At 39.2% G+C, this 14,662-nt stretch overlaps 1 long non-coding RNA gene across 8 annotated transcripts in view, besides 2 other annotated features; it reads right to left on the reverse strand.

Moving 5' to 3' along the window:
• Positions 1-3,972: 3,972 nt before the first annotated feature.
• LINC02625 (long intergenic non-protein coding RNA 2625) overlaps positions 3,973-14,662 on the reverse strand; it is an 89,240-nt gene continuing 78,550 nt past the window's right edge. For 5 of the 8 annotated variants that reach the window (XR_001747458.2, XR_001747460.2, XR_001747459.2 and 2 more), the window contains exons 4-6: positions 7,495-7,672; positions 7,027-7,106; positions 3,973-6,493 (exon numbers count right to left, since the gene is read on the reverse strand). This is a non-coding gene — a long non-coding RNA (long intergenic non-protein coding RNA 2625). The remainder of the gene's footprint in view (positions 6,494-7,026; positions 7,107-7,494; positions 7,673-14,662) is intronic. The other 3 variants (XR_001747461.2, XR_002957081.2, XR_002957080.2) reach the window with 1 other exon arrangement.
• Positions 5,263-5,975: a transcriptional cis regulatory region, noted in NCBI's record as "candidate enhancer chr10.1925 targeted for multiplex CRISPR interference". NCBI's record gives its function as "positively regulates ARID5B gene expression with high confidence in K562 cells {active_cell/tissue: K562}" and the evidence as "EXISTENCE:mutant phenotype evidence [ECO:0000015][PMID:30612741]".
• Positions 6,655-7,854: an enhancer, noted in NCBI's record as "CDK7 strongly-dependent group 2 enhancer chr10:63541146-63542345 (GRCh37/hg19 assembly coordinates)". NCBI's record gives its function as "activates an origin of replication core promoter dependent on BRD2, BRD4, P300/CBP, MED14 and CDK7 cofactors, with strong dependence on CDK7, by STARR-seq in HCT116 cells {active_cell/tissue: HCT116}" and the evidence as "EXISTENCE:reporter gene assay evidence [ECO:0000049][PMID:35650434]".

Below are 14,662 nucleotides of genomic sequence, written 5' to 3' on the forward strand. Positions count from 1 at the left end.
GATGAATTGCACGCTTAGGAATTTTCGACCAGGGTCCACACCTTAACTACTTTCTCCTTTAAGTGAGGCTAGTAATTTTTAAAATGTCTATGATTGGCTTGGGATTTCTCTAATAAGAAATGTAAAAAACAAGACCCAAAATTATTAATTTTCTAGTAATTTTCCCCTTAGGCCAAGGTCATTTCTTCAGCTGTTATAGTCTTTAATTCACTAAAAATTATTTACTAAATACCTACTGCAAGAACATGGCTAAGTCCCTTAGCAGAGCCAATATTGATGTGTTGGCTGCTATGGATATTAACTATATCCAATTCTAAACACTAGTATGTATTTCTGAAGTATTAATCTGGCTTAGATAGTAGACAGTTCCATAGGTTAAAATAAAAGGCACAGTCAGATCATACACAGAGTTGGAAAGAGAAACAGAACTTTGTTTTTCCCTCCTGCAAACATGCTCAGTCACCAGTTGTTCACTTGTGATGGGTGCAACCTGAATCAGTTGGCATGTTCTTGGCTGCAAGTAAGCAAAATGCTAAACTCAAAATGGCTCAAAAAATAACAACAAAAAAAAATGTAGAGACCCTTCATGACGTCATGGAGGACCCAGATCATTTATCTGTGGTGCCCTCACCAGCACCTTGGCTTTTGTCCCCAGTATTGTTCCTTTATAGTCCCAAAATGGCGGCAATATCCTCACAAAAAGACTAAATACTCAAAAAAAAATTTTTTTAAGAAACATTTTTTTCCTCTTTTATATATCTTCTTAAGAACAAGAAAAACTTCCTAAAGCCTGCCAAGATAATTTTCTGTGTCCCTTTGGCCAGAATTGTGTCGCATGGTGAACCCTAAACCAGATATTGATAAGTGAAGTAGAATTGTCATGATAGATTTAGGTGAGTTAAGATTTACTAACCAAGGCTAGAGGATGGCCCTGAAAAACACAGTCAGCCAATACTTGAACAAAATTGGGATTCTGTTAGAGAGAAAAAAAAGAACAGCTATTGGGCAGGTAATTGCCATTTCTACTCCACAAAGCGATCTTTCCTCTGTAATATTTTATATCTTGGAATGACCTAACATTCACTTCATTCTTCATTTCCAAATTTAGATATAGATAATAGATAGGTAGATAGACAGACAAATAGATAGAAATTTTCTTCTTTTTCAAAGATTATGCTACTGGTGCTAATTATTATCTCTATGTGTGGGTGTGGTTTAAAAATAATTGTCATAGAAAAAGCTACTGCATTCTAACATGTCTGTGAAAAATAGCTAGAAATTTTTGAAACCAAGTCTATTCAGCTCTTGGGTGCTGGCCTCATATTGAATTATTATTGCCATTTCCTTTCTGCTGAAATATTGATGACATGGTCATCACTCATTCAACCAAGTGTGGCTATTTCAGATTTAGTTAAGTGTCTTTATTCAAGGTGTCCTCATAGGCTCCTTTATTTGTTAGAACTATTTCAAAATGAATAGACAGATGAATCACCAGAGCACTGCACAGCACTAAACGGAGGAAACAAAACAAACAAAATAATAAGACAATTACAGATTTGGGAAATTGCTTATAATATACTATCAACTGATAAAAGGGTGAAATCTATCATTTAGTATGACTTGTGTTTGTGCGGGAACATTGATAGGCAAAGAAAAAGAATTCAAACAAATTGGAGGGTTATCTCTTAGTGGTGAAACTACAGGTGATTTTAAAAAAATCTTTCTGTGTTTTTCATACATTCTATATTGACTTTTTTACGAAGAAGAAGAATTAAACACTGCTTCTGACTGGTTGTATGCTGCATCCCAGCCTTCAGTGTCATTTGCCAGCCTCCAGATCAACCCACTGGAAGCATGGAGATTCTCCTTTTCCAGTAGCAATCATTGGAATGCAGCAGGTACTATTTTGACCCAGGGAAGCCCAAAGAGCATCCCAGAAACAGTTCTTGTTCTGGAAAAGCCTCCAATCTAAGTTAAATACATTGACAGGTTCGTGACATCTGGTAAATAGACACATTGCCCTTGCAGTACTGAGATAAATTCTAGAGATGGATTCCAGCAACGATTCGGTCGAAATAAATGTCATGATGGTGGGCCTGTCACATCTCCCCAACTAAGCTTCAGGTTTATTGTTTATACAATGCATGAAGTTGAAAACAGGTGAAAGGAGGCAACATTGAGAAACCTTTTCCTAAAACTCAAGAGACATACTGACTTTATTTTAAAAAACTAGAAAACTAGTCTTAGAAGAACACATCTTAAAGAATATCTCAAATTGACTAAAAATTGAAACACCAGATGCATTCTCATTAAAATCAAGAATGAGATAAGGGTTGTGATTTGAAGTAATTGTATTATTCCATGTTTAATGTCTGTCTCCAGCCCAGGCTGTAGCTCTAGAAGGACAGAAACTGTTTCTATCTGGTTTGGTGCTCTATCTCCAAGGTTGAGCACAGCGTCTGGTGCAGAATAGGTACTTTGTAAATCTCTCGTGAAAGAAAGTGCAGAAGGCAGACTGATACGCTGGTTGGTTGGCTGTTTTCACCACTAGTATTTTGATTTTTCTACCACTGCCTTAAGACAGCATGTAGGACTTAAAAGCATAATTAACACAAAGCCGAAATCATTATTGTTTGTAGACTGTAAAACTATCTACAATGAAAAACCATGAGAAAATCATTCTAAAAATTTCAGTAAGAAGTCAAATGAGAAAATAAATATTAAAACACAGATTATCTGGCTGGGCTTGGTCGGTGGCTCACGCCTGTAATCCCAACACTTTGGGAGGCCAAGATGGGCAGATTGCTTGAGGTCAGGAGTTCGCAACCAGCCTGGCCAACATGGCAAAACCCTGTCTCTACCCAAAATACAAAAATTAGCCAGGCATGGTGGCGCACACCCGTAATTCCAGCTACCCAGGAGGCCGAGGCAGGAGAATCACTTGAACCCAGTGGATGGAGGTTGCAGTGAGCTGAGATCGCTCCATTGCACTCCAGCCTGGGCAACAAAGTGAGACTCCATCTCAAAAAAAAAATAGATTATCTATAAATTAACAATGGTTAGAAAATATAATGGAAAAAAATCTCTTACAAGAGTAACAAACATACAGAATACTTAAAGTGGCAGTTAGAGGTAAAGGACTTGTTTGAAGAAAATTATAAAACTCTTCTAAAGGACATTTTGCTAGATGCAAAGTTTAAATATAGGAAAGATGTCAAGTTTTAAAAGTAACTCCATTGAAAATCTCAGGAAGTATTTTTGTATTTGCTGATGTTAGACTGAGGTGAACATGAATATTGAACCAGTGAGAGCTCAATATTTGAAAAGCTGAAGAGTAATAAGGTGTGACACTTTCAGTTTTAAAAACATTATAAAGCTAAAATACTTAAAAGTATGATATTAGTGCAAAAAATAGAAACCCAGTTAATGAAACAGAATACAAAACCCTAAAATGACCTTAACACTAAGAATTTGTTTTATGGTAAAACTGATTTGGGTGACTGAGTCTGTGGGTTTTGGAGTCACTCTATCCTGAGGTTACCCCTCAGCTCTGCCTCTTAATAGATAAGCAACTTGAGCTATCTAAGCCTCTGTTTGCTCATCTGTAAAAGGGGATTTAAAATAACTGCTAGAATGTTGTTGTAAGAAGCAAATAAAATATATATGCATTAAAATGAACAATTCATTAAATATATTTAGCACTGTACCTAAGTATATAATAAATGGTAGTTATCATGTATTTTACAAACCAATTAGAAAGTAATATACAGGAAATGATGCTAGGACAACTATTTGAGGAATAATGTTTATATGTTATATATTTATATTTTGTATGTTATATTTTATAAAGCATACCAACAAGTGAAAGCAGTAAATATTAGAACTACAAAATAGCTATAAAAAAGTATAAGTAATTATTTTCCTGATCTTGTAATAGGGAGAGCTTTAACAAATAAAACTGATGAAACATCATCACAGAGAACAGAAAAAAGGATTTTAATGTTTCTGTAGAAAAATTTTAAACTGCTCCATATAAAAGAAAAGTAACCATAAATAAACATAAAACAAAAAACAGAAAAACACTTTCAGGGAATTGTATGACAGACATGGAGTTAATAACTTTAATAAAAAACATCTATTTAAAAACAATACCAGAAAAAAAAAGCCAGCAACTCAGTAGAGAAGTTCACAAAGGATCTGAAAAATGATTCACAAAGAATTAAAGAATAAGTACAAATTGTCAGCAATAATGAAAAAGTGTTTAATTTCATCAATTCTGGAATTTAAATACATGGAGAATTTAAATACATGGAGAATTTAAATTAAAATTTCAGTGTATTTAAGTCCAAAGAAATCTATAAAGGGAAATGCAAAAGTAAAAATATTTTGTACACTGCTATCTTAGCAACTGCCTAAAATTGACTCAAATATGTGAAGCATTGTGCATCTCCCATTTAACCCCTATGTGTTAAGGAGAACTTAAAATTTTCAAATGAGATTTCAGAACTCATTTTTGCTAAACTGCAATATGCCACACTCTCTGCCACTCCATGTTCTTTTCACTTTCTTACTACCGATAATTTCCATGTCATAAATGTCAATTCGCATGAGCATGAACTAAGTACGTGATGAATGACCCCTGAGGAAACATATAGAGATCCAGTTCTGGGCTTGACTCTCTTACCACTAGCTGTGAGGAAGGCCATGGATGAGGCCCATCACTCTCCCAAATGCAAAACAACTAAGTCAGCATTTCTCCCAGGGAGGTCTATAATTCCATTCCTGCATCCCATTCCAGCCCTTCAGAATCAGAAGGCACGATCTGAAATCGGCGTTTTTTTTTTAAGAAGCACCCTAATTAATAGTTAAGTACTTTAAAATTTGAAAGCCAAATTTAGAGGTCCCTTAGAAGGGACCTCTAAGTCCCTTCTAACACCAAAAATCAAGTTCTTTAAAGAAAAAAGTGTGCATGCTGAAGAGTAGCTCCACTCTGCACATCTGAGAGTGACCACCCACCTCAACGCTCAAATTTGGGTTCTCAGATCCTTGTTATATTTGAGGTGATATCTTTTTAGGTTTCTTCTCCCAATCCCATACATCAAATTACACTCATCAAAACTACCAGTCTACAAAAGGGCTCGCAGAAGGCACATAAATTCAATCCCAAGTCCTGATGATTCAGACACTTAATCACACCGTAAAGTTAATGGAATCAAATTTGAATGTAGACACCTCAACAGCTACATTACATTGAATTCACAGCATTCATAAAGTGTGGATTTCAAAGTGAATCATCAGCCTAATGGAAAGTTCAGAGCAGAATGCTCCCCTCTCATTGGTCACTGTGCAGATCCTCGGCTGCCAGGAAAAGGACCAGAGCTGTCAACACAACACTGTAGCCCAGGCAACCAGCCACACTGCTAGGAAGTTTTCAACACTTGAAAAAAAAAAATACAAGTTATTATAGAAACTTTCAGGTGCTCCATAGGTTGTTTGGACACCTCCTGGTTTATAACAGTCATGATGTTTAGACGTCAGACTCCGCCTGTCAGTTTAGGACCTCCCATCATTAACAGCCCAGAAACGGGTGGCTCTCTGGCTGCTTCTGATTTGACCCGATTGTCATAAAGTGTGTTCCTGCAGCAGAGCAACTCTGGGGTAAGAGGAAATAAAGACTACGTTTCCAAGATCCCCCAAATCTATTATTTAAACAGCAGGAAATAAAAATGTCGTTGGCCCACTAAACATCCAGATGTGGTCTCAGTGATGTTTGGCCTCCACTAGATAAAGACATCTGGATGACTGTCTGAGCTTACCATCTGGGTGGCCTACGCAAGTGGCATCTCAACTCTGAACTGAAGGTGGGTGGGGTTTGCAGTTATGACATCGCTGTGTGAACTCCTTCTATTGAGAATGTCTTTTCACATTAGCTTTTCCACCTTGGATAGGGCAGCTTTGCCTAAAAGAATCTCGAGGTCCATAGAACAGCTTAGATCCACCTTCTCAACTAGGCTTTCTGTTCTTCAAACATTTGCAATCATTGTGAAGCTAAGTGGAAGGTAGACCAAATCCTTTCTTAATTTTTCCCTTAAAGACAGCTGCTGGAATCCACTCATTCTTAAAAACTTATTTACCTGAAGTAGGAACTATGCATATAAAGGAAGGAGTCAGGGACTCTCAAAATGTCTTGTATACTTTTTGAGTCTAATGTGCTGAACTGCAAATTTAATCCACTGAAGTGGTTTCATGCAAACACTCCTCTCAAATTCCTTTTGTACAAAATCTTGATGCATAATGTATAAAGTCTGAAAATGGATTAAACTACATTTGGAGATGGCTTGAGTTGTTTTTTTCTTAAGCAAGCAGCAAAAATGAGCAGGTTTTTTGTTGTTGCCTTTTTTAACCCTTCTTGCTCTCAAACAATCACACATGGATTATGTCTTCTCGAAGCTGCCTTCCACAGAATTTTTCTTTTTTTTTTCCTGTCAAAAAGCTTGAAATGTAAAAAGTTTTAATTAGAAATGTGAAGGGTGAATTAAACTCATTTCCTTCAGATCTCCCAACTAAGGCAGGCAAATAGAATGGTAAAACCTTCTGATGTATTCCTGGAAGATAGTTCAGCAACTGAATAAGCAAATGAGTACAATCTTACTGAATAAAATATTTCCTGTTACTCCACAACCTTAATTACCCTGAGGACTGTGGCCATAGAGAGAATGCCAGTCTGTGTAATGGGGGAGGCAAGTGTGGTAGATGCTCACAGACACCTTTTCACCAGTGCCCAATCAGGGCCAGAAGGGTAGGAAAGGAGGTGGCCAAGGGCAAATACCAAAGTCTCCACGAGAATTGCAGAGACGTGGTTACAATCTTACCCTTATGTCTTGCAAAATGCTGTGTTTCATTATTTGCTTATTTTTTACATATCGTTTGAATACTAGTAAATTGTAATGGAAAGAGTTACAGCTAGAATGAGATTTACAATCAAGCCCTGGCCCTACATAGTTATGTGACCTGAAACTCACTCACTGTCACTGGTTTCAAGTTCATCATCTGCGGAATGAGGAGAACCATCCTCCATCTAGCTACCTTTCTTCATCCTGGGGCCACTGAGAAGGACAAAAGAAAAGGATGGGAAAGTACTTTGTAAAGACTCAAGCTTCATCTACACTGCTGAATTCTCCTCTGCTTTGAGCTAACCACCATTTCCTGCAGAGAAAATGGTAGCCTCCTTGTCTTCTCCCACCTTCTTCTTCATCCAGGTTTCCCAATGCTGTGGGTGAAATGAACAAGTTGTCCTAGGGGAGACTTCCAGCTGCTGCACAGCCAACTGCCTCCAGTGGGCTCCATGCATGTGGCCTAATAAGAGCTGTTCAGCTGACAGCCCCATACCCATTACACTAAGAAGTGGGGCTTGAGATAAAACACAGCCACCCCCATTCACCACTTCCCAAGGTTCCTCACAGTCTACTTTCTGAACCACTCCCCTTGACTCACCTTGCTCCTGACCTTGTGACTAATCATTTTGCTTTTGTTCACCACACCCTCCAGTTTCATGGGTAGTTCCACTTATCTGGCTTGGACTTTTTGCTTCCCTTCTCCATCCTGATTTAATTGATTCATTGAATCATACTGCCTTTACTGACAACTGGTCCCAGCACCTTATACTTCAGCCCTGTGAATGGGACACAGACAAACAGAAAGTTTTATATGCAGATGTAGGAACTGAGATGTCTCCCCCAAAAATAGGCTGTTTAAGGACTTCTACCAGCACTTCGGGCATTTTCTCTTTTGGGGCAAAAACTTGGACCAATTGAACAATTTCAAACTCTACGGAACAGGTACCTTGGGAAAAGGTGATGGGGAGAAGGGGAAGTTTTCCCCCCACTCATCTTTTATTCCTATCTTAAATGGAACCACATACTAGCATATGTCAAAAACACAGAGGAACCATCTTCTGCTCATGCCTCTCCATATAGATGTTGACTCAGTAGACGAAGAGTGCTGAATGGGAACAGAACTTTAACTCAAATTCATTCCCTATAATTTCACAATAATATGGACACCAAACTTAAAAATTTTTTTACAATGTACTGAGAGCAAGGGCCATGTCTATCTTGTTCACTGGAGTATTTCTAGAACCTAGCACAATGTCTGGCACCCAGTAGGTGTTTTAAAATATTTGTTGCCTGAATGAATATATAAGAAGAAAAAAAAGTAATAATTTGAAGGATTTCTTATTATCTGATGCTGATAGAGAGTAGAGGCACTGATTTACAGAACAAGTATAAAGCAGTACAGCTTGCTAATACCTTTTAAAACGTGTTGATGCTCATAAATCCAAAATAAACGACCTGTAAAATCACTTAAGAAGAAATAATACGCATTTAATCAGCCTTCCAGAGGAAAGTCTGAAGAAAAAGAAGAGAATTTCATGAAGAATTATTAAATCCCTTCAAATTCAATCGCTGGCCGATCACAGACATGCCACATGTCCCTCTGCCCACAGGGCCGTCACTTTAGGCGGTCTTCCTCAGTGTTTCCTTATAAAACTCCTAAATTACAGCCACCTCCTGGAGCCACAGAAAAAGGCTTTGGATTGACTGAAAAAAGGGCAAGTCCTCTTACAGGTCTAGCCAGCAGACTTTCCCATATTCCACAGAGAGATCTTAAATAAAGGGGGAGAAACTGAACACATCACCCACATACTAAAGCCAGTATCTTCAAAGTCTTACACACAGCTTTAGCTTCATGTCAAAAGGGCTCTTCCTCTGGCAAATAAAATTCAAAACACTGTGAAATGCCAGTCTGTGCCGCTGCTTTATAATCCTGTTGAAGTTTCTGGAATTTAACAGAGTTCTGATACCTTCCATTCCATCCTGGATTTTGCCTCTTAGTCTGCTAATGAGAGTGACTTTACCTTTCCTGGAGTTTGATTAAGGTCCTGAGGGTGGCAGTAAAATGGATCCATGTTTTTATTACAAACTCAATTAGCAGAAGTTGGAATTGCTCTCTTCAACAAAGTTAAATAAATTGTTAATGAGAAATTTACCTTCACTGGATTTGCTAGTTGCCTTATTAGCTTGGAGTCAACACTATTAAAGGAGAAGATGTTTATTAAAGCTTAAGGTGTTTGCTAGATGGAATGTTAAAAAGAAGATGGCAGGATAGCGCCACTGACTGCCTGCTTCCAAAACCCAGAGGGGCTCCCATGATCCATCCAAAATAACTGAGTTCCAGCCCTCATTTGGGTCTCTTCATCAGGGAAATAGCAATTTACCCAGTAGATAAAAGTGTCAGACATTCCTGGATAGCATCTAAAGCTTCTCTCTTCACTCGATGTCATGGGGACGTTTTTAAAGATAGACACTAGCATGAAGAAAGATTACCCAGTAGTAGATGTGTCTGAACAGGGCATAGGAACACTTTTCCGTCTCTGCTAAGAAGGAAACTAAAACACCCCACCATAAATGTCAGGAGCATAGAAGAAGGAGCCTATTTACGCAAGAAACTTTACATACAGACCTCAAAACCACTTACCCAAGGAAAACAATAATGTCTCCCTGATGTGGCATTCCCAAAATGCCTCATTTTAATAACCAGGACAAGCTCTAGGCAAAGTTGTGAGGCCAGTCAAGATTCTTTTCAGCCCCCTCTCCATTTATGTCTCTCTCAAAAATGTTCCCCTGCCCCCACGCCCCTCCCCCACCCCGCCCACTATGTAACCCCTGCGATAAGATCTGCAGACTACTTCACTCCATTGCAAGATCCCTCCTTATAGCTACTGTATGGCCCTCAAGAGTCAGAAAAGCTAAAGACCTCATTTCCCAGAGTCCCCTGCTGCTTAGGTTCCATGTGAAACCCAGCGTGAGCCAAACACGCTCCCTCATGAGAGCTGGACTATAGAAGCAGACATCAAGGCTGAGGCTGCACCCCACTACTTCTGCTAACCAGCACAGTGTGGAGACATGTGGGAACTATAACAGAGCCCCCAGGGTCCAGATCCTATCACTGTGGCTATTGAGAGGCAAGTGCAGGTTGGATAGACGTGGTGAGGTGCAGAGCCAGCAGTTGTAGAGGCGACCTCCTTATTCACAAACTTGATCATGGCAGAGGCAGCAACTGCCTCCGTGGGCCAGCCCTGAGGTGTTGTTCTGAGGTGTGATTCCTGGAAGCTCTGCTTAAAGAACTCTAGCCTTTCTAGTGATCTTTGTAAGCTCTTATTCCTTGTATGAAACTCATTTCTGCTAAAAATGACTATACTGAATTATGTTATGTACAACTAAACTCTGACAGAAATACTTCCTTCCCACATAGGCAATCAAGTGACTTAATACTTGGCCCTTCATCTTCTCAGATGAAACGGTTGATAAACTAATTCACAATAAATAGTCAGTGACTAATATAGCAACTTCTTATGAATAATGGCCTTAATCAAAGCAAAAGATTCTAATGGTAGACAACCATGAATGGTCTATGATGTTGATGGAGATTTTTTTTCCTAGGCAAGAAGGCAAAGGTTTTTTTAAATTTAAAGAAGTTGTTATTAGTTGTTGCTGATGATGATAATGTCGGCAGTGATGTTTAAAAGCTGTCCTCACTTGTAAAGTTCCCTGGGCTGACAACTTCAACTCACCTAACCCTCTAACTGGGGCTAAAAACACCATGATCACGACTCAGTTTTTTGCCTCTCACTGCAAACTTCATGTATGGAGGTTTCATGAAACTATACAGAGAAAAGTTGCCATATAAGAAAATGAACAAGGGTTCTAGCATCTCTCTGAAAATTGATAGTGCACTTTTAGATAGAAGACAGAGAACAGGCTGAGGAAGAAGGCAAATAGGTAGACAGAGATGATTGACAATGTCCACGTGCACATCCACAGATGTTCCTGAATCAGCTACTTTGTCAAGACCCCACCCTAGGTGCTTCTGGTAAAGAGGTAAGGCTTGTCCTGGCTTCCAGGATCTCACAGTGTAGGGGAACAAGGGAAATTGCCATTTCTTAATCACTTATCGTTTGCTAGTAGACTTTGTTGATTTCATTCATACAATAAATATTTTGTTTTTGTTCTAGTTTATGAGACAGATGAATAAGTTAGGTTTCCTAATCCCTTATAGAGGGAGCCAGACATGACATCAGTACTTACACAAAACGTTTTCAATTATAACTGAGGCAAGTACTACAAGGAAAATCATAGCACATGGTCTAATGGAGGAGGAGGAGGAGTTAGCATGACTTGGTCTGAGGGTCCATGGAAGCCCTCCCAGAAAAAAGCTGTTCCAGCTGGGTTCTGGGGCCAAGCATGAATTAGTCCAGTGGAAGGAACAGCACCAGCAAAGGCCCTGAGTTGGAAGGAGCTTACTCCAAGAATAAGGTACATATTATTATCCCCATTTTACACATGAAGTAGCTGAGATCTACAAAGATTAAGTAACTTCCTAAGGTTATGCATAACACATAAACTCAAAGATAGCGATCTACCATATAATCCAGCCTCTCCTAGAAGCAGAAACAAAGATACACGGCAGCCTTTAAAAACAATTATCAGGAGACCCTCTCATGCCCCTCAAGGCCACTGCTCCTCCTGAAGGAGCTAAGGACAGGTTTTCATTTGCTCACTCTACTGGGCTCCAGATCAAATTAAATTAAAAGCCAGCTATTTCAGACGAAAAAGTCCTGCGTCCTTTTTGGGAATAAAATCGTCTTCCCTCCTCCCCAGGGCCTTTCATACCATTATGGTGCAGTCCCAAGCTATCAATGATAGTGAAAAAATGGGGCTTTGCGATAGAGGAAAGAGGCTATTCAAACTGCTCCTGATTTCTATAAAAGAGAGATCTTTTGATCTTTGAAACAGCCATAGGGCAGTTTGATCTTTCTCAAACTCATTTATTTTAGATTCTTGCAAATTTCTTTTCTGTAGGTTTACTTCCTCAGAAAACTCAATATTCAATTGAACAGTGACTTTTATACATTGAAATGCAATATTGAATAACTGAAGCCTAATAAATGCCATCCCGCCTATATAGGATATTTTAAAAATCATAAAAGGGCTGATTGAGCCCGATCCAGGCAAAGATGACAAAGCGAATTCAATGCTTCTTTTGAAAATGAGTCATGGTCAGAAATACTCACTTTGACCAAAAGCATTTCTTTGAATGCCAGAGGTAAATTTGCTCACTTTCATTTTCTGCCTGGGTTTCAGATCGGCCCTGCAGAACTGAACAAAATCAACTCTGAGAGGCCCTGGCAGCTGTTCCAGATGTAAATGTGAACAGGATACTGAGATTGGGCCTATTTCCTTCTATGTGTTATTTTCAAATTATGCAGATAATATTCAGATATGGGTCTATCAGACTTGGCATATTTTTTTCAGGGAGGAGTAAATCATTGCTATTCTCTGCTGCATTAACATTCCCCAGGACCACCCTCTCTTTTTTTCTTAGAAAAAGGATATTTTCTTGTCACGAGCCTCTAAATTACTGGCACAAGAAGAATCTGACATATGTTCCCAGTCGTGGGGGGGCTCATGGGAGGACAGGTACAACATACTCAATAGATTAGCCAAAAGAAACAGCCTTTGATGTCAGGGAACCTTTCCAAATTTCATGTAAGACTCAAACAATCTGTGGCAAATCAAAGTTCTCAATCAGAACTTCTGTCCCACTTCTCTTGGTGCAGCTATGGCTGGAGGAACTTTTGTTTTAACTCTTTGTAGATTATTACTCAGTTTGAGAGTGTGTTTCTCTCATGACCCTTCCAACATTATGAACTTTAAGAAGATCGATAACTTCATTCTCCATCTTCATCTTAACACATGCACTTTTTCCCTCTTGGATATGTGTTTTAGGAAAATGCAGATTAGCATTGCCAAAGAGCCAGTTGTTTTTAGCAACATTCCCCTCGGTGTGACCTCCTAAGAAGGTCTGATTTTATAAACCATTAAAGGAACACTACGTTTTCCATACTCCCTGTATCAGCTAAAGGCTGGAAAGGGCAGCAAAAGCAGGATCTCCATGGAGGAGGAATGATAACCACTTGGAAGAAGATGGTGGAGAAAAAGCAGGCATTGGCTATGCACAGAAGATGTCGGTCTTGCTTTAACAATCTCCCTTAAGGCCTGCTGCCCCACACTTTCCTTATGGTGTCAGCATTCCAAGAACATTCTTTGGGAACCAGAGACAAAGATGGCACCAATACCTCAGAGCCTTTTGATTAAAGAGTTGTCGTTTTCCATCTTGGGACCGTGGAAAACAACTTTTACATAAGAAAGTTTCTCTCAAGGGTGAGTAAACTATCCACAGCTTAAAAATAAAAATTGATAATTAATGTCCATGAAAGGGCTCTAAAGAAAAGATTCCCAGCAAATCAAAGGTAAAATTCTGAGCTCATATGACTATATCCATAGACATGTCCGTGCCTGTCTCTAGAGCCATTAGCTATCCAAGAGACATTGGAGGAAAGAAATTATTATTTCCTTAGAAGCAAATGGAGGCTTCCTTTTCCTTCCATCAAGAACACTTTAAAACAAACAAACAAACAAACAAAAAACAATATCTGGATTTCTAGACACTCAGAAATATGTTATTCATAGGTTTCTTACACTTCCGGGCCTAGAACATAAGGTAGCATGTTCTAAGAATAATGTTCTGAGAGGAACGTAAGATATAAAAGAACTAATGTCATTCAAGGCACAGTAATACAATCCAAAGACAAAACAGCACCACACACATCTTACAGGGCATGTGCTCTGTGTCTAGTCTATCACTGGTTTGAAAAACTCTAGTGGAATGAGATTACCTTTGTCACTCAGTTAGCACCACTTGTCACCTTTCATTGACTCTGCTGTTTCCCGTTTATAATTTCAGCAGGAGATTGAATCAAGCTGTAGACTTATGGAATAACGCCCCCAGACATTCACCCAAGAGTAGTTTAGGCAAAGTTTTCTGTGTCAGGAATAAAAATGTTGAATTTGAAAATGAAGTACAACCAAGTGGAAATATAAAATGGCAGAGGAGGGCCAGATGTGATGGTTCGCACCTATAATCCCAGCACTTTGGGAGGCTGAGACAGGCAAATCACTTGAGCTCAGGAGTTCAAGAGCAGCCTGGGCAACACAGAGAAACCTTGTCTTTACAAAAAAGACAAAAGTTAGCTGGGCGTGGTGGCACACGCCTGTAGTCCCTGCTTCTTGGGTGACTGAGACAGGAGGAACACTCCAGCACAGGAGGCTGAGGCTGCAGTGAGCCCAGATTGCACCACTGTACTCCAGCCTGGATGACAGAATGAGACCCTGTCTCAAAAATAAAATAAAATAAAAAAATAAAATGGCAGAGGAAGGCTGCCTGCCTAATTAGAGTGGTGGAACAAAGTTATGAAGCAGGAATGCTTAATATCAGGAGAAAAATGGAGGATTATGGCTTTAAATAAATGGGACTCACTCTCCTACCAGCATCTTCCCCATTCCAATGCAATCCTCCACACTAGACCATCTGCCAGTTGCTCTGGCAGGAGTGTGTCACCAAGTAGAATGGATCCACTAATTCTGGGATAAAGTCAAGAAAATTCCTCCAATGCAGAACACAACACTAACCTCAGTGACTGTAGCCCTTATATATCCAACGATCTTCTAGGGAAGCAAGAGAGAAAGCACCAATAAAATTC

The sequence above is a fragment of the Homo sapiens genome, chromosome 10 (assembly GCF_000001405.40).
Source record: "Homo sapiens chromosome 10, GRCh38.p14 Primary Assembly".
Taxonomy (NCBI): Eukaryota; Metazoa; Chordata; class Mammalia; order Primates; family Hominidae; genus Homo; species Homo sapiens.